Source organism: Homo sapiens, chromosome 12 (genome assembly GCF_000001405.40).
Source record: "Homo sapiens chromosome 12, GRCh38.p14 Primary Assembly".
Taxonomy (NCBI): domain Eukaryota; kingdom Metazoa; phylum Chordata; class Mammalia; order Primates; family Hominidae; genus Homo; species Homo sapiens.
In genome coordinates this window covers 5,162,713-5,182,332 of record NC_000012.12, presented here as the reverse complement: position 1 = coordinate 5,182,332, position 19,620 = coordinate 5,162,713, and the positions used below count along the sequence as shown (strand labels likewise).

Here is a 19,620-nt window from a genome sequence, read left to right as displayed (position 1 = left end):
AGTAGACAGAGACAGCTGATAGTGAATCTACTGATTGGACCCAGTTCATAGTTCTGAAGTAAAAGATGACTGATGATTAAAACAAATATTTAACATAATAATACTTATGTTAAAACATACTAGCAGGCCTGGTGTGGCGGCTCACACCTATAATCCCAGCACTTTGGAAGGCCAAGGTGGGCAGATCACCTGAGGTCAGGAGTTCTAGTCCAGCCTGGCCAACATGGCGAAACCCCAGCTCTACTAAAAATACAAAATTAGCCGAGCATGGTGGCGCACACCTGTAATGCCAACTACTCGGGAGGCTGAGGCAGGAGAATCACTTGAATCCAGGAGGTGGAGGTTGCAGTGAGCTGAGATGGCACCACTGCACACCAGCCTGGGCAACAAAGCAAGACACCATCTCAAAAACAACAACAACAACAAAAAAAAACAAAAAAAACTGGCAGACTGGGCCCCTGCTGGAATATACAGGCTTGCATATGGTTTTCTCCTTCATAACTGTAAAGATCAAAACAATAGCAATCATAATAAACTAAGGAGACCTTGGGTTAAACAGATCATTACAGTTGACAATAGAGGTGTAAACATGACCCTGATTAATGGATCTATAATCTGTCTTCCAAGTTTCTGGCCATTAGCCATGCTTCTAATTAAACTGAGTGTGGGAGCAGCATTCCATCTCCTGAGGGGCTGGTGCAGCGACATTCTGAATTCCTGACCACCCCAGGCTTGACTTTGCAGCCTCTGTTTTGTTACCTGTTGAAATTCAAATAAGACTTCACTTGTTAACAAGACCCTCCTTTAAAACATCTCTAGCCTTTGATCAATCTTTCTTTTTATTCTGCAGGAATCTAAAGAAGTTGGAATGGAAAGCAAAAGAACACTGCCATATTTTTACCAGGTGGCCCCACCACGCGCTACACAGACCAAGAGAGTGAACATGTCCTTGTTCTTAAAGAGCTCACAAATGAATATCTTTTTTTTTCCCTGAGACTGATTCTTGCTCTGTCACCCAGGCTAGAGTGCAGTGGCGCGATCTTGGCTCACTGCAATCTCCACCTCCCGGGTTCAAGCAATTCTCCTGCCTTGGCCTCCCAAGTAGCTGGGATGACAGGCGCGAGCCACCATGCCTGGTTATTTTTTTTTTTTTTTTGTATTTTTAGTAGAGACGGGATTTCACCATCTTGGCCTGGCTGGTCTTGAACTCCTGACCTCGTGATCTTCCCACCGCAACCTCCCAAGGTGCTGGGATTATAGGCGTGAGCCGCCGTGCCTGGCCTGAATATTCTTAAACAAGGAGTGAAACAGAAATAGTGTGTTCCTGTATTTCAGAATGACAAAGGAAACCAGGAACACTTGCAGGTTAATAAGTCCATCCCCCTGTCTCAGAGCAGAGTTCTCTGCTGAAAGGGCTACAGACTGACACCTTCTGTTTGAGGTCCACCCTAATCGAAGTCCATCTCTGGACTTTCAACCTGAAGTTCCGGTGCTGTTTCAGGCTCCATGAACCATGTGTGATCAAAACACTCTAAGGAATTAGTGGTTTTCTCACATGCACTCCTTGACATCTGTTCTTTAGCCTGCCAGCCATATTTGATGCTAAGGGAGAAAGAGAGAGCTGTCTCCCAAACAGAATCCTTTGCCATACATCTATCGTGTAGTGTTGACAGTCCTTCTTGCAGTGTGGTGCGGGGGCAATGATATCTCTGTAAAAATTCTCACTAGGATCCAATGATTTATTTAGCTAACAGCTAAGTTAATTATGTCAGTTTGACAATTTCAAGAGGGAAGGAAAAACACACATGGGCTGGATGAGGAGATTGTCTCCGTAATATTTTATACCAGGACATGGTTAGGAAACCCAATGATTTCTTGGTACAAATCTCTAAGCGATCAAACATTCCCCTATAATCAAGACCATCACTAAGTTTTAAAAGAAATATATTTTCCCCCACAACTGAAACGGGTGAAGTAAGGCAAAAACACCAAGCGAAAAATAAGCATTCGGTTTTCAAGTAATGGACTGTTTCCTCTGGAAGGAGAAGGGAATCTGGGTGTCTGGATCCCGGTTTCTGCTCTGCTTCTTAGTGGCCCTCTCTTCACCTTAGCTTTCTCATCTGTACAGCAAAGGATTGGCCAAGCAGGCATCTAAGCCCTTACAGTTATTGCCTGCCAGGATGCCATATGATCATGGATGTTCAGTTTTCAGGACTCTGGGACAAGGAGTGGAGTCAGGTGAACACTGGGACTAAGCAGACATCACAGGTTCTCTGCCTCAGAGCCAAAGCCACATTCCCCGCCCTGGTCAGAGAAGGCCTTCCTTGTTTCTTATAGCATTAATCTCAGTACCTCTATGCTATTCAAAGGCTCAACTATTGCATTTTCTTTACACAAAATTCTTACTGATCTCTTTCTCCCATAGGTCTTGAAGCTAAGTACAGATTTATTCATCCTTTCTATGCATATTTTTGAGCACCTGCTATAGGAAAAACACTGTTTCCAGTACTAGGGATATAGGGCAAACAAAACAATCTCTGCTGTCATAGAGATACCTGCTGGAGCTTTGATAGCTTTCTGCATGAGAAATGGGCTAGGTAGGATTCTCACATTAGGGATGAGAAAAGGAGGAACCGTGGGCAGACAATTTCAGCACTCTGGAGATGCAAGACAAAAACAAAGTCTGCAAACAGACTAGAATAGAATAGCTTATAAAAGGACATTGTGAGCTGGGAGCGGTGGCTCACACCTGTAATCCCAGCACTTTGGGAGGCTGAAGTGGGCAGATCACTCAAGGCCAGGAGTTTGAGACCAGCCTGGCCAACATGACAAAACCCTGTCTCTACTAAAAAAAAATACAAAAATTAGCCAGGTGGCACATGCCTGTAATCCCAGCCACTGGGTAGGCTAAGACACAAGAATCGCTTGAACCCAGGAGGTGGAGGTTGTAGTGAGCCGAGATCACAGCAATCACTGCAGCCTAAGGGAAAGAGTGAAACTCTGTGTCCAAAAAAAAAAAAAAAAAAAGAAGAAAGAAAAAAGAAAAAAAGGACATTGTGACAGAACAGTGTTTGCATAATACCTTAGTTTCTTCTGCAACTAAGAAGTAACATTTACAGGACAGTCTAGGATGGAGAAATCCCTTCTACAAATTTCCTATCATTTTCTTTAACAAAAACCTGTCAAGGTATTATTATTGCCTTTTTAATCAATGAAGTTGATGAATACTCAGAAAGTTTTACGTGACCAGCCTGAGATAACTATTAAATGGCAGTGATGAGACTGACTCTGGTGTTTACTTCAAATCTCACTCTTTCCATCATGATAAAACTGCTCTCAACATTTCTTATTCCATTTTTGTTTCTGAAAGATGGTTTTAGTGAACTGAAGCTTGCCAAAACCTCATTCTGACTACAAATCATGGAGCCTCCCCCATGAACTTACCAACTGCTTCCAGAGTTACTTCTTAAATCTTGTTTTAGCCATTAAATTTTGGTCTGATAAATAAGGCAGTCATTTTAACTATGTAAGAAGAATGAAAATAGGGGGAAAATGACTAACCCCTCCTACATTTTCCCTGTCAACGGGGAAAGAACAAGTCAGGACTGGATTTAAACGTACGTCCATGGTTTAAGGATGAGGAGTTTGGGGAATCGTCTTTAGGTTCATAAAAGATGCCTCATTTCACTTTCACTGAGAGAATGAAAGAAGATGGGAGTGTTGAGCTTGTAACACAAGGAATTTAAATTAAAGGCATAACAGAACTTCAAAACAGTAAGAGACATCATTCACTGGAATGGAAGGACGCTTCAGAAACATGTGGATTCCTCTTCTCTTGCCATGTGATTCTCCTAGGAGGCTTCGAGTGGAGGATAGGGGTGATGACTGAAATGATTTCAGAAGGTTCCATCCAGTCTTCACTGTGTAGTTTCAGTTGGTACAGTAGAAAGAGTAATGGACAAGGATGCAGGTGTCTGGGTTCTCCAGGGCTCTGTCACTCTCTAGCTGGGCACCCTCCGACAGAACATTTAACTCCTCTGAGCCTTAGTTTTGTTACCTTAATCATAAAATGGGACTAGTGGATCTTGGTCTAACCTCCCTGACAGATGATGATGAAAAGCCCTTGAGATAACCTTTACTATATGTAAGTTCATGAGGGCAAACTTCTTTATTTTTATTACTATGATATTCCAAGAGTGTGCTTGGGAATATGTACTCCACCTGGTACATGGCAAGCATTCAATAAGGGTTTGGTGAATAGATGTATAAACAACTGATGTAAAAATACTTTGCAATGTGGAAAGAATGGAAATGGGAAGTATCACAGGTATATCAATTGCCTGTGGTGACTATTCCAGTGTGTAACCCCATTACCTCTTTCACCTTCATACCATCCCGTGCCCGCCCCTATGAGTCAGCATGAGCTCAGAAGGGACAAACTGATAATGTTGATCTCTATCAAACAAAATCAAGCTGGTGGCTACAGGAAGCATATCATGATACTTGGTGAAAATTGAAGTTACAGATGCTATTGGTGGCTTCTTTTTTGGAAGTTTCTATTTTCCTTGGGCCTTGTTGAAGGGAGTATAGAGAACCTACCTGTTGTTTTATCTGAACTTAACAGGGACGTGGGCATACAGACCAGGAGGAAGGCTCTCCAAGCCCATCTTTGATGAAAGCCCTTCTGACAGATTATCTGTAATTCCTTGACAGGGCAGTGAGTTGCTGTCCCAACTGACTGCAGGCAGTTATGATCAGATAATTGAATTGGCGCATGCCCCTGTGTAATCGAAAAAAGTTGGCACCCATCTCTCAACTTGATATTAACTTAGCGTTTTTCCAGACAACCTCCCTGCCCCATCACAGAGTTGCCTCTCAAATATAAATGTCAAGTAAGGCAGCAGAAATTAATTTTATATGCTTTGTGGGCACTAGGTAATACTCAGAAGGCTAACAATGGAAGAACAGAATTATAAAAGAATTGGGAATGAATATGCTTTATAGACCCTGGCACATTGCCCAGGGCAGTAGAGTAAGTGGGAGAAGAAAACGCTGGTGATTGGGGTGAGTAGTCAGCTTTCTTTTCAGCATGAGTGGTTTTTAGAACAACCAGAATGTTCCCTTTTAAAGACAGCATACACGCTTTTGATTCCTAGGCCTACCTCCAAGACACCAGGACGCTCAAGTCTTCTGATGTCCAGGTACCCAGTTGATGGTGGTAGCAATAGATTTTGTTCTGGCAATTGTAGTGTTCTCCACATGAAGAATAAAGATGGGAGCACCTAATTGGTATTCTGCCTGCACTGAACATTTTAGCTTGTAGTTCAGTGGGTTGCTCTGAAATTACATTGCCTATGTCTGAATTCCACTTTTGCCATTTAGTGGCTGTGCAACCTTAGGCAGCTTACTTAATTTCCATGTGCCTTAGTTTTCATATCCATAAACTACAAATAATACTAGCACCTATTTCATAGAGTGGTTGAAAGGGTTCAACCAGCTGACTCATGAAAAGCATGTAGAAAATTGTCTGGCACATGATAAGTACTCAGCTAACATTGGTTGTACAAATTATATTGTCAATTAAAAATGTATGCAATTTGAACTTTCCAACTTTAGATTAGGGATGGCTATCTTTCCCAACTTTTTTCTTTCTCCATTAGTGTTGAGAGATTTTAATGCTTCTGTGATTCTATAACCCTATCTCTACGTTTAGATCTCGACTTCCATCAATAAGAGGTAGAGTTAGAAAAGTACCTGGGACTGAAAGTTCTGAGTTTGTGTGCCAACTCAGCCAGTAACTAGCTGGATGACTCTAGGGTAAGGTCACTTTCCCTCCTGCAGTCTCACTTGTTTATTTTCAAATGAGGGGATTGGACCACTTGACCTCTAGAGATGCTTCTAGTCCCAACATTCAAGAAATCTGCTACTCCCATGGAAGCTCAGGGACCCTCATACCTAAATCCTTAGGTGACCTAGTTTGGCTTCTACTCTGTGTTGAATACCAGTGGCACATCACCAATCCTCCTTTCCCAAGTACATTTTCACCATACTTTCTGCCTCCCACTCCTCCTACTCCTCCTCTGTCACTTAGCAACTTGGGGTCCCAGCATGAGTAAGTGGGAGGAACTGGAATTTCCAGAGTCCAACTAGCTGCAAACTTCCCCTTCTAGTTCCCTAGGTCACCCTCACATTTCTTGCAGCTTCTCAAGGTCCCTGGTCTTTTTACTTCCAGAACATCTTGTCAACGGAAGACGCTCTACAGAATGAGCAGTCACATGTGAATGGGTCTGTCTCATGTAGTCATGGAGCTATCATTTTCCCCTTAGTTTATCATCAAGTCAACTGGAAGTTGAAGTCCCAATATTATAGGCAACCAGCATGTGCTTCTACCCTGTACATGGTCTTAAAAGTCAGGACATATATGAAATTGTGATACGATATCATTCCTAACTTAAGACCCTGATGCAGAGGAATAATATATGGCCATGATGATTCCTCAAGGATCTAGAACCAGAAATACCATTTGACCCAGCAATCCCATTACTGGGTATATGCTCAAAGGATTATAAATCATTCTACTATAAAGACACACGCACATGTATGTTTATTGCAGCACTATTCACAATAGCAAAGTCTTGGAACCAACCCAAATGCCCATCAATGATAGACTGGATAGAGAAAATGTGGCACATATACACCATGGAATACTATGCAGCCATTAAAAAGGATGAGTTCATGTCCTTTGCAGGGACATGGATGAAGCTGGAAACCATCATCCTCAGCAAACTAACACAAGCAACTAAACACCCTCAATCTGGGTGGGCATCACCTAATCAGCAGCCAGTGCAGCTAGGATAAGGAGGCAGGAGAAGGCGGAATAGCAGACTTGCTGGGTCTTCCAGGCTCCATCTTTCTCCCGTGCTGGATGCTTCCTGCCTTCAAACATCAGACTCCAGGTTTTTCAGCTTTTGGATTCTTGGACTTACACCAGTGATTTGCCAGGGGCTCTTCGGCCTTTGCCCAAAGACTGAAGGCTGCACTGTCAGCTTCCCTACTTCTGAGGTTTTGGGACTTGCACTGACTTCCTTGCTCCTCAGCTTGTAGATGGTCTATGTTGGGACTTCACCTTGTGATCGTGTGAGTCAATTTTTCTAATAAACTCCCCTTCCTATATACATATATCCTATTAATTCTGTTCCTTCAGAGAGCCCTGACTAATACACTACCCAAAGGAAAAGAAGTCATTTTATGAAAAAGGCACCTGCACACACATGTTTATGGCAGCCCAATTCACAATTGCAAAGATACGGAAGCAACCTAAGTCCACATCGATCAGTGAGTGGATAAAGAAAATGTAGTATATATCCACCATGGAACACTACTTAGCCATAAAGAGGAAGAAAGTAATGTCTTTTGCAGCAACTTGGATGGAGCTGCAGGTCATTATTCTAAGTAAAGTAACCCAGGAATGGAAACCCAAATACTGTACATTCTTACTTATAAGTGGGAACTAAGCTATAGGGAAGCAAAAACATATACAGTGATATAAAGGACTGTGGGAACTTGGCGGAGAAGTTGAGAGGAGGGTGAGAGATAAAAGACTACATATTAGGTACAGTGTACACTGTTTGGGTGATGGGTGCACTAAAATCTCAGAATTCACCAGTAAAGAACTCATCCACCCTAAAAACTATTGAAATAAAAAATAATAATATAAAGAAAAATAAAATAAATAATAATAAACTATTGTTACAATAGCTTGGGTGAATCTCAAAGGCATAATGCTGAGTGAAAGAAGCTAGTTTCAGAAAATTACATGCTGTATAAATTCATTCATATGACATCCTCAAAAAGATAAAACTATAGTAATAGAGAAAAGATCATTGGTTGCCGGGGTTAGAAATATGGAGAGAGTATGACTACAAAGGGAGTAGTAGCATGAAGGAGTTCTTTGGGGTCATGGAACTGTACTGTATTCTGATAATAGTAGTGGTTACATGATCCTACATATATGTTAAAGCTCATGGAGCTATAAAACCCCCGAAAGTCAATTTTGCTATATTTTAATTTTTAAAGAAAGGAACATAGAGCTATTTTGAGAAAAATAAAGACATGAAAGGATAGCCCAAGAGAGTCCAGTAGAAGAAGCAGAGGCAAAGTTTTCCTTGGCTCTTGGTTATGGGCTGTCTGCTGAATATGAGTCTTGGATCTTTTTCAGCATCAACTTGCAGAAGCTATGCCTTTCCACCCTTGCCCTTGTAGCTTCTCTGAGTCCAGGTCTCCCCACTCCCATGCCAATGGACCCTTCATAATGGGGAAGGCATCACAGCAAGACGCAGGCTTGGGGCTTTCCCAATGACCAGGTTCTCATTAAGTGCCATCTCACCATCAACCAGCGACAGCAATGTCCCTCTTGCCCAAGCTCCTCCCTTCCCTGCACTCTGGTTGCCCTCTAAATGGCACCAGCCCAAACCAGGGACAGTCACTCGTCCACTCACTTCCCAAATATTTACAGAGCGCCTGTTGGGTGCCAGGCTCCTCCAGGGGCCCTGCTGCCAGGCCGAAGCCCACGGCGGCATATTCTGGAGAGCCCGGCTGTTGGAGCAGCTGTCCTCTCAAGAACCAGCACTGGCATGTCCTGTCCCAGAGGACCCAGGTCGTTATCTCATTTCCCATCTTTGCAGATTTTAAATGCTTTCCAACACTTCACCCCTTTCTCAGATGAAGATTTAAACATAGGCGGGTGGACATCCAATATGGTAATATTTTTCTGTTGATTCATCAACCTCCACAGGCACTTGCTTCCTTGATTCTCTGACCTTATTCAGTTGGTACTTTCAGTGTGACAACTTTTCTCAACTCACTGGCAGAAAAAATCATTCTCGTCCTGTTTCCAGAGGTGCAACAGGAGGTTGGCAAGAGTAAGTCTTAAAGAACAGCAGTGATGCCTGCTAGGGCCCTGACAGATTGGCAATAGAACTGGGGCTAGAGTCTACACCGCAAGAGCTCCCGTGCGTTTCCACAGTCAAACAACCCAGAATGCTGAACATCTTACAATCTGAAGAATTTGTCCAAAAACCAGACAGAAATGGAGGAAGCTCTCTCCCAAGTATCTGCATAAGCAACGTAGGGCAGAAACACTTTCAAAACTCTGTCGTGTCCTGGGGGCAAGAGATGTTTTTGATAGATGTTGCGATGACAGCAGTTCACAGCAGCCCCACATTCAGGGAACTGTTCCAGCGCGCCAGAGGTTGGGAGGCTTTTAACTCTCTTCATTCATCCTCACACACGCCAGCTAAGCGAAAGCAACGTGAAGGAGCTGACAAACCACAAAGACCAGGAAATGCAGAGTAAATGCTGATCGGAAGAGCAGTAGAAGGTAAATGGGTATCAAAATATAATCTGGGAGTGCGGGCTGGCCTTAGGATGCTTGAAAGCTGTTCTGATGACTTCCCAGCACACGCGGAGGAGACCAGCCCGCAGGTGCCAGGAGCGGGAAGGGAAGCAAATGTACACCCTTGTGCACTTGCCCAGTGCACACCGCAAATGTGCTGTCCCTGGTGCGGTGTGCAGCAAGGCTGGCCTAATGCTAAACTTTGGTCAGAGCTTTGCTGAGTGAGAACGCCAGTTCCAACCCTCAATGTGACACTTTATTAATTAAGTGAGGGATTTACAGCAATAACTGATAATCAAATGGAACAATTGTAACAATATACTGCAATACAAGTTTTGTGATTGTGGTCTCTACCTTGCTGTACTGTGCTCACCTATCTTTGAAATTCAACTGACTTCATGTAACTGAAACTGCAGAGAGTAAAAATCATGGAAAACGGGTATTATTGCATGTCTCTTGACCTTGGCAGTCCCAGGTGGTTGGGAGAGCACCTGACAGATCCTAGCAGGCTGACCTCAGTGCTAGTCCCAGCTGTAACTAGCTAAGTCACTGAGTAAGCCATCTGCCCTCTAAGGCTCTGCCGCAGATGCAGCTGTGTGCCCTCCAGGTGCCCAAATAGATGAGAGAAGAGCACAGCAAAATTTCCCATCCAGACAGCCCCTCTGTACAACCCTTGACTTTCAAATCTTGAACCTCTCGGGCATCGGGGCACAAAAACCCTGGTAGGTTCACAAACACTGAGGACCTGAGCCCTCTGATGCCTCTGGCGGGACCATGTTCTGGGTGGGACCGTGTTCTTGGACCACCGTGGGCACACGTCATTCTGAAGACACTTGTTCTCCAGTCTACAGGCCACCCTTTGCCCATTCCCACTCCTCTAGTGAATCTGAATGGCAGAGACTGAGGCAATTCTCCGGATTTCTGAATCTGCCCTTCCTTAAAGGCTGCTGGAAAGGATTGTACCGCCAAAGGGAAGAAATCTCAGGGAGATGCTGCCCCCTTCTGGGAAACATGCAAAAGTAAAACCCCAAAGACAAGGAATTTCCTACCTGTTCTGGAATTCTCGCTGTGGAGATGCACTGCTCTGTGTTCTGGGGATAACCAACACATTATATGCTAGATGCAATTGCCTGCAAGAAGAGGAAACGTGGATTAGATTCATCATTGACTCACCATTGAGACCTTCCTTCAAAGACAGGAAAAATCTCTGAGAGGGAGGGGCCGGATTTAAGAGGTTATTGCTGCCATCCCCTGCCTCTGAGCAAGAGCTGAAGCATGGCTCAGTCTCCTAGCACCCTCATCTTTAAAAAGAAAATCTCCCTCTGTCTGATAAATCCCTTTCCTGCTACACGTTCAAGTTCACACTTCCCTTGGGTCAGGGATTAATGGGGTGAACAAACCAAATCTGAGCACCTATTATTGCTTAGCTCAGGAATGCAAGCCATAGCCTTGCCCTTGGGGAGCTCACAGTATAGTCAGAGGGACAGAAAGGTAGTCCAAGAGAAAATATATGTAACATGCGTGAATGTGCCTGGGTGTTACAGGGGTGTCCGGGAACACAGACTAGATGGGGGTGCATCAGGGTCCTGAAGGTGTCCTCATGCACCTTAACTCAGCTTTAGAGAATGTACAGGACTTAAGGAGTGATGGTCAAGAAGGAAAGCGATAAAAGTGTGAGACTGTGCACAGCTAGACGTGCATGGCGAGAGGAAAAACATTCCTTGTTCTTTCTTTCTGTCTTGTTTTCTTCCCTGTGGGGATGAGAAAGCAATAGGCCACTTCAGCTTGAGTTGAATGGCACGCCATTGAAAGCAGCCGCTGGACTGTCAGAGTTTACATACAACCTTCTGGCCATAAATAGCACCCTGCATGCACTTACACACCCCCTCTGAAAATAGCATTGGCTGTTCTCACAGTGATTTGAACTGAGAGTTTATATTTAGTTTACTCTCTCCCATCTATTTATATTTCTTTTGTTTACATAAATATCCCTCTCGATTTATTGCTGTCACGTCTGGGCACCTGACATCAATAGAAGAACACATAGCAACTTCATTCCATATGAACTGGGCAGTTAAATCCATCTCCCCCTTATCTTTGATGTGTTCTCAAATGCACATCTTAGAATTCCACAATCCCAGGCTTGAAAAGAGACTTGAGAGGCTTTTATTTTCCTCCTCCCCTCCCTCCAGCTAGATTCCCTGGCACTGGACTGTTTAAATTTCACAGACTTCCCAAAAAGGGAGCTGTACCCTACGCCTTTGGTCCAAAATTGGCATTTTTCAGCCATAGATTCATTCTGCTGGAGCCTGTGAACAGTTCACTCTGCTCGAAGGGCGCTTCACGAACTCACAGGCTGTATCCCTGCAGTCAATTCCTTTCCCCAACCAACATGCCCACTTTATTTCCCTGCAGCCCTCAGCTCTTTATTTTTTATTTTTTATTTTATTTTATTTTTTTTGAGACAGAGTTTCGCTCTGTCACCCAGGCTGGAGTGCAGTGGCGCGATCTCGGCTCACTGCAAGCTCCGCCTCCCGGGTTCACGCCATTCTGCTGCCTCAGCCTCCCGAATAGCTGGGACTACAGGCGCCCGCCACCGCGCCCGGCTAATTTTTTTGTATTTTTAGCAGAGACAGGGTTTCACCGTGTTAGCCAGGATGGTCTCGATCTCCTGATCTCGTGATCTGCCCGCCTCGGCCTCCCAAAGTGCTGGGATTACAGGCGTGAGCCACCGCGCCCGGCCTTTTATTTTTATCAATCTTTTTGCCATTTTCACGGACTCTCCTCGGAACCCCCCCTCCCCCTCCGCCTTCCGATTCTGCATTTTCCTCAAGGTTGAGGGTTCAGAATCCGAGTGAGGCCCTGGGTTTGGTGGGAGGCCATCGGAAAGGGTGCTTGAGTCCCTGGGGCAACACCCAGACCCAATCACGATGTTCTGGTGCCACCTTAGGGTATCATAAATAGCACACGAAACTCTGTGGACTCCAGACCTTTCTCTACCCTACTCCTGGAAAAGTAGAAAGAACAGAGGCTTTGGAGTCAGACAGTTCTAGAGGTACCTGTTAAGTTGTGGAGTTGTAGAGTCTTGGGCAAATGCATAAGCCTCTCCGAGCCTCGGTCTCCTCATCTCATCTGTAAAATGGAGACAATAACACCTTTCAAAGCTGCAAGAAAATATGAAGAACAGGAAGAGTAGGTGTCCAAATGTTATGAAATGTCTAATATTGCCTCTGCTCTCTTCCCTTGAGAAGCCCACATGCCCCTCCTGACATTTTTTAAATCCCCCTTCCCATTAAGACTTCCTAGAGCTTCCGTAGAGTCTAAGGAAGTCTGAGTCGCCCTCTGAAGTGAGAGTCGGTGTTCCTAGACAGGAACAAGCCATTTTTACCATAAACTACAGGCCTGGAGTTCCTGGAAAGAGATTAAATTGCTGCATAGTCTTGGTGGCTATTTGGACAGCCTGCCTGGGCAACCAAAAAGCAGAATCCTGTTCTGCGGTGAACAGCATCCTAAGCGGGAGGGACACATTCCCCATCTCTGTTGAGGATTGAGCAGGAGGCGTAGGAGAAGACGGGGCAGGGAGGTGGAGACTGAGGCACCCAGAGAAGAACAGCCAGATGGGGAAGGGGACAGACCGCCTGGAAGAGGCAGGACCGGCAGACACCTCGTTCTCATGCACGCTGTCTCTCTTGCATTCTTGGCTCCAATCTCATCGGCTTCAGTCTCTCACCAAACATACAGCCAGTCTGGTATTTATTCCAGGTAATCTTGCCTTTTATTGCAATCTCAAGCCAAAGGAGGAAAGAACAGAATCAAAAACTCAGAGAAAAACAAAATTCTAAATTGTATCCAAGTTAAATGCTCTCCTTCAGCATGCACGCTGGATCATATAAATCACCTGAGAAAAGGAGGCCACTTTAGGAGCCTGCTCTTTAAAATCGGCCTCCCGGTCAGGGTCAGCACTCTGGCTTCCGGCAGGTAGGGGGGAGATGAAAGCCCCGGGTTCCCCAGAGAGGCAGTGGCTGAGGCAGGCAGTTACCAAGGGAAGCAAAGGACTCCCAGCTGGACCGAGGCCATGCACCCAGGGAGATCGTCCCTGAAGAATCTAGTTTTGTCTAGGCCACACCAGCTCCTGCATCCCCATCTTGCCCAGGATGAGAAGCTGGTCAAGTCCTCCCTTTCCCTTTCATTCAATAACAATTTGTAAAGTTTCCACTGTGAGCCAGGCGCTGTCCTAAGCACTTGCCATCCATCGATGAACTCAGCAGGGAAAACTCCTATGATCATAAGGTTTGCATTAGCTTTCCTGATCCACGGCTAATGATTGTCCCTGATATTAATGTGGTACTTAGTTCCCGATGAATGTCTTTAGATACACTGTCTCGTTTGAATTTCATGGCAGCCTTTGAGGTTAGCTCAGCAGATCCCGCAGCTGCCATTGGTGAATAAAAGAGGAGAGGTACACACAGAGAGCGGAGGCAGAATGATTCAGAGGTGGAGTCAGAACAGGAATTCAGAGCTCCCGATTCTCCCCATAGGGGTCTGTCCTCTGTCACTCTCTGCTCCTGCCTTGATGCTGATGAAATCCAAGTCAACCACTTCTGTGCTGGGGCCATTCCTCCAGGAAGCCTGCCCAGACTGCTTCACCACACTGATCTCCCCATCCTTGAATTACTGTAACTCTTATGCAAGTGCCATGTTAGTTGTTCAACACTGTTTTGGGCATCATACTTCCCTGGCTACAGTGTAAACTCCTGGCTGACAGAGGCAGCGTAGAGAAACTCGGGATCCTTCAGCCGCACTGCCTGACCAGGGTGCTGCAGTCCTTTTTATGATGTCCCAAGACCCTGATGTCCTCGGTTCTCAGGACCACTGAGTGGGGTCTGGAGCATCAGGACATGACCTCTGGCTGCAGGTGGCCTCATTAATTTATTCTGGTGAATTTTGCAAATCACTTTGTATGTGTCCCATTCTATGAAAAAAAAAAAAAAAAAAAAAGCTGGAGAGCTCTGCTTATATCCACTAGCAGAGTACTGGACACCTGGTTGGTGGTTAATAGATACCTGGCGATGTGTTGAATGCTGAAAAGACAAATGTCACAGTATTGCAAGCTGGGAAGGATGGGTGAAGTATCTCATTATTGCAAATGAGGACTGAGACCTAGAGAAGTGGATGATTTGTTGAGGGCCCCACAGTGCATAGGTGTCAGAGCCAGGCCAGGGCCTCGGCTTCTTAGTCTGTATCCATGCCAGGAGCTCACTTTGTTATTTAAATGGGCAGGCTATAAGAATCCAATGGGCCACGATTCCAAAACAGGGCTAAGTGTGAGGAAAGAGGTCTTTTTACATCCTTGCTTCAGTCCTTGGGAAAATTGAAGACTATGCGTTACGGACAGTCTGTAACCTTCGCTCGGATTCCAAGGAAAATGGCTTCAGGTTTGCCAGCAAGTCAGCAGACCAGAAAGAGTGATGGGACAGGGAGAAGTAGCCCATGGGCAGCTGAGGTCAGAGACCAGGACTTTGTCACCAGTCCCAGATGGCCAGAGTCTCAGAGGACTGCTAAGGCCGCAGGACAAAAGTCTCCATTCCCATGCGAGGCCGCATCTCTGAGGCTGTGGGGAACGCCTGCAAGCCAGATGTGCTGGTTGGAGTTTGACTTTTGTCAGTTCTAGGTTCAGTGCACCTCCCATCCCCCACCCTTGCCCACAGTATAAGTGAATACAATTTTGCAGATGGGAAGAGAAGGGAAGCTGAGCAGAAACATTTGGCATGCAACACACCACACAAGATGCTGAGACAATATGTGGCCTATCAGTGACTCACTCCCTAAGCACTCTGTCCAGGCTGTTGGGTAGAAAAAATAGGAGCATTTATGGAAAGAGATTGTGAGACACCCAGAAACCACAGGTTTGAGTCTTGGCTCTCTGGTTAACTGGCTATAGGACATTTTGAAGTTATATATCACCTCAGAGCTCAGTTTTCTCATCTATGAAGACACCAGAAGCTTGGCTTGCTAGTACCTATACTTTTTAAACTATTTCTAACATTCCAGTTAATGCTTCTCTCTTGATGTCTTCAGATACTAGCAAAAGAGCTGCTAACAGTTCACGCTGGTATACTAGCCCTCTCTGTCTCTAGCAGGAAAGAATAGATAGCTACCAGGGTTAGAATATTTTTAAAAAATCAAAGCACATATTTCGATGGCTAGCATAATTCCTGGCATGTAGTGGAATTTCAATAAATGTTTAGTGAGGGACAAAAGGAAAGAAGGAAGGAAGACGGGGAGGAAAGAAAGATGGAAGGAAAGTAGAAAGGCAATACCAATTGAAGCATACTGTTTTTCTCCTCTATGTAAAAATTTTGATTTCTACCTAAGTAATAAAAACTAACATTTTGGAATGCATTATTCCAGATATTATTTTAAGTGCTTTAACCTATTAATTATTTAATCTTTATAACCAAACTGTGAGAAACATGCTATATTTTTGTCCCCATCTTACAGAAGAAGAAATGGAACCACAGAGAAATTTACTAATGCGCCGAAAGTCACCTAGAACAGAGAATGATTAGGGCTGAGAAACCAAAAGACAAGGAGACCAGAAAAAAGTCCAGACCCAGGAAACCCATGCAAAGTTTGCTCCACCTGGATCAGAAAAATGGACTTAAGACTCCGGGAAGACTAAGATGGTCAAGACAATTGTTGGGTGGTTGTCCATGGTCCATAGTTTACACTCCTGAATACCCTCCCCTCCTGCAGTGAAGTTTCTTCCACAGTAATACGGTTCTGTGAAGAGGAACACTGGAGCCAAAACATGTCTGGGTGTGGACAGCAGCGGTGTAACTTAATGTGTGATCCTGGGCCAGTCATACTTTTTTGTGCCTCAGTTTCCTTATCTGCCATTATAAACATTTTAGATAGTCTTTAAAGCACCTAGCCCAGAGCCTGACAAATAATTAGCCTTGAATCATGTAACTTCACTTCTCCTTTGCTGTTTATTTTCTAGAAACCTAATCTCAGATTACATTGTTTATGCTAAGATGGGGTGGAGAGACCCAAAGTGTGCTGTATCTCTCAAGTCATAGTCCCAAGAAAGATCCTCAAGCTGCCAGGTGGTAGTAGGCATGCAGGAAGCTGGGTGCTCATGAGCTAAGCCACAGCTTATCACCTTAGGCCCAGGCCAAGGCTAATCCTCTACCCCCAGGCAGGGATCCAATTAAACCACAGAGAGCTCACATTCATCAAAGATTTCCATAGGTGCAGCACTCCCCAAGCTTCCTTGGCAATAAGTTCTTTCTCTTGTCTAACTGGCATCCCTTCTGTTATAATTTGATCTCGCTTCCTTTGCCCTGCTTCCAAGGGGAAAGAAGAACAGTTGGTCATCCCCACCCACATGCTGGCCCTTCCGATAAAGGAGCCTAGTGCCAAAACATGGGCTCCAAAGCCCTGACTTTCATCCTGTCATAAAACTCGATCCAACCGAGTTGGGACCTTTGCGGTTTAGATGTCAGTTGAGTCAACCTCAGTGGGTACCAGGCAGTCTGTGGGCAGCAGAAGATATTTCCTATGCCCTGGGAGTGGGCCTCATGGTCTTACTGTAGTGGCAGGTGGAGCAGCATCCACCTGTCATTCCACAAGCCCTCTACCCAAGGTGCTAGTAAAGGAAAGGGGTTTCTAGTTTTGCCTGCTGGGCAGAGCAGCAGGTTGGGGAGTAATGGGAAGGAAGATCCTAACGCTTCCCTAGAATAGTGTGGGTGTGGGTGCCCAGAAAAGAAAATCTAAATAGTTCATGATTATATGAAAAGTTATCAGCATCTGCTGATATCAGAGTTATCAAAGAATATAGCTTAATTCCAAAAGATGCCATTTCCTGCCTATGGGTACATTTTGGTTTTTATTTGCTTCTTCTTAGGATAAGACCCAGTTTTATTGGAAATGTGGGGGCTAATTGCTCACATACACAACTGGCAGAAGTATATTCTATGTTAAACTTTCTAAAGAGCAATTGTCATTATCAACCAAAGCACTCAAAACATCCTTTGAAAAAATATTTTCACATATTCTCTGAAAATTCTGACTATTATGGGTAAAATTAATTTAGCCATGCTCACTGCACATTTTTTAACAACTGCGAAAATATTTGGGAACAAATAAATATGTCCAATGATAATAATTTAAATAAATTAAAACTCATCATCACTGTTGAAGAATGTACAACCATTAGATATAAAGAATGTAAAAACAGAAAAATCATCAGAATATACTAAGTGAAAAAATAGGTATTAAAATAGCATATACAACATCTCTTATCTGAAGAGAAGTATGGAAAAAGGGAGATACAATCTCATGGCTTTGCCTCCATTAGGAAAGGGCCAGGGACAGCCACAACGTGTGTATCTGATTATGAACCTTAGATATATTTTAGTTTCATCTAGCCAAGCAAAGTCCTCCTTCCGTAAATGTCTCCTTAAGTCTTTGATCAAAAAGTATTCCTGTATGACCCAGCAATTCCAAGAGAAATGAAAACATATGTCCGCACAAAGATCTGTACATGAATGTTCATAGCAGCATTATTTAGATTAGCCAAAAACTGGAAACTACCCAATTATCCATCAACAAATGAACAAAATGTGGTATATTTACACAACAGGATGTTATTCACAATTAAAAGGAATAAAATACTAATACATGCTATAGCACAGAAGAACTTCAAAAATATTATGATCAGGGGAAATGCCAGACACAACACACTGCCTACTGTAGAGTTCCACTTACATGAAATATTCAGAGTAGGCAAATCTATAGAGATAGAAAGTAGCTTAGTGATAGCCCAAGACTGGGGGCAGTGGGGGATGGGAGTAACTACAAATGGGAAGGAGGTTTCTTTTGGGGGTGATGGAAAGTCCTAAGAGTAAATTGCAGTGATAGCTGCACTGCTCTGTAAATATACTAAAAACTATTTAATTATACACTTAATGCATTTTATAATACATAAATTATACCTTGAAATAAAGCTTTTGTGAAGTTCCCCTAGATGATTGTACTTAACGAACACATCCCACTGAATGCATGATTCAGTCATCAAACATTTTTCAACTGCCCACAACTTGCCAGGTATTACTCCAAGAATTTTTGTGAAAGAAACAGAAATTACCAACTATATTTTAGTGATCTGCAAATCAACCGACATGTTGATATTTATCAATAGACTCTTAATTATTTCTTATTAGTCGTTCTAACCCTTAGGTTTTGCACAGTACCTGGTATAAAACAGACCCTGTCCAATATATGTTGTTGGATAAATGAATTAAATAGATACAAAGAGATCCTGAAATTTGAGAGGAATAGAGAGAGCGATGCCTTCCCTGAGCTGATCCTTAGAGTGGCATCCACGGAGGGAGAGTGACCAGGGAAAAATAAGCCAAGGCAATTCCGAGAAGACTCTGATGTTCCTCTGGCTTCTCAGGACCAGGGAAGAGTCTCCCTGAACCTCTGGTTGTTGGGATTTAACAGGTGGTAATGTGTGCAGCAGCCCCCTCAGGCCACATTTTTCCAGATCTTGCCCAGTGTCTTGGTGGTGGTTCAAGCACAGGGATTGGGAGTTTCTAATGCTCAGAATGTCTGAGCTCCAAGCCTCATGCCATTACCAGAGCCCTGTCTTTCTTGAGGGATTTAGTGGGCAGCTCGGCTAATTTCTTCCCTGCTTCCACCTTCCATTGAGCTCAAGAGCCCTATTTGACACTGGCCATCTGGTAGGAAAGGGTGGTCAATATCAGTGTCTCTCCACCCCACCTTCCTCCTGGAGTGCTCCAGAGCTGACTGTATCTCACTCCCTCCCCGCTGCCGCACACACAGTAAATGAGGGCCTCTTGGAACTTCACAAGATGTGTGCAAAGCTGTAAAGATGTCTATTCCCTTTGACCGAGTCATTTTACTTCTAGGAATGAATTTGAAGGAAACAATCAAAGCTGTTCATAAAGATCTGTTCTTCAGGTTGTTGTGGTCATATTTATAACATTGGCAATATTGAAACTTTGGAAGCCACCCTAAGTCAGCAACAATGGGGGAATGGTTAATTCGGTTATAGTATAACCACATGGCGGGTTACTATGCCGTTCTAACCATCCTGTTGCCAGTGAATTTAACTGTGAAGGGAGGGATTTGACCTTGACCTACCATTAATTAACATGTCTGCACGTGTGTAGAGGAAAGAGTTGCTGTGCTTGTGC

The 19,620-nt window shown here is 44.1% G+C and overlaps 1 long non-coding RNA gene across 2 annotated transcripts in view, besides 2 other annotated features; it reads right to left on the bottom strand.

The window, feature by feature from the left end:
• Nucleotides 1-19,620, bottom strand: part of LOC105369617 (uncharacterized) — a 257,798-nt gene that overhangs the window by 197,412 nt on the left and 40,766 nt on the right. For both annotated transcript variants that reach the window (NR_188065.1, NR_188066.1), the window contains exons 3-4: nucleotides 12,454-12,526; nucleotides 10,444-10,524 (exon numbers count right to left, since the gene is read on the bottom strand). This is a non-coding gene — a long non-coding RNA (uncharacterized LOC105369617). The remainder of the gene's footprint in view (nucleotides 1-10,443; nucleotides 10,525-12,453; nucleotides 12,527-19,620) is intronic.
• Nucleotides 8,104-9,303: an enhancer, noted in NCBI's record as "BRD4-independent group 4 enhancer chr12:5282196-5283395 (GRCh37/hg19 assembly coordinates)". NCBI's record gives its function as "activates an origin of replication core promoter dependent on BRD2, P300/CBP, MED14 and CDK7 cofactors, and independent of BRD4, by STARR-seq in HCT116 cells {active_cell/tissue: HCT116}" and the evidence as "EXISTENCE:reporter gene assay evidence [ECO:0000049][PMID:35650434]".
• Nucleotides 9,772-10,508: an enhancer, noted in NCBI's record as "H3K27ac-H3K4me1 hESC enhancer chr12:5280991-5281727 (GRCh37/hg19 assembly coordinates)". NCBI's record gives its function as "activates a minimal SCP1, AML or CMV promoter by ChIP-STARR-seq in naive H9 embryonic stem cells {active_cell/tissue: H9 hESC(naive)}" and the evidence as "EXISTENCE:reporter gene assay evidence [ECO:0000049][PMID:30033119]".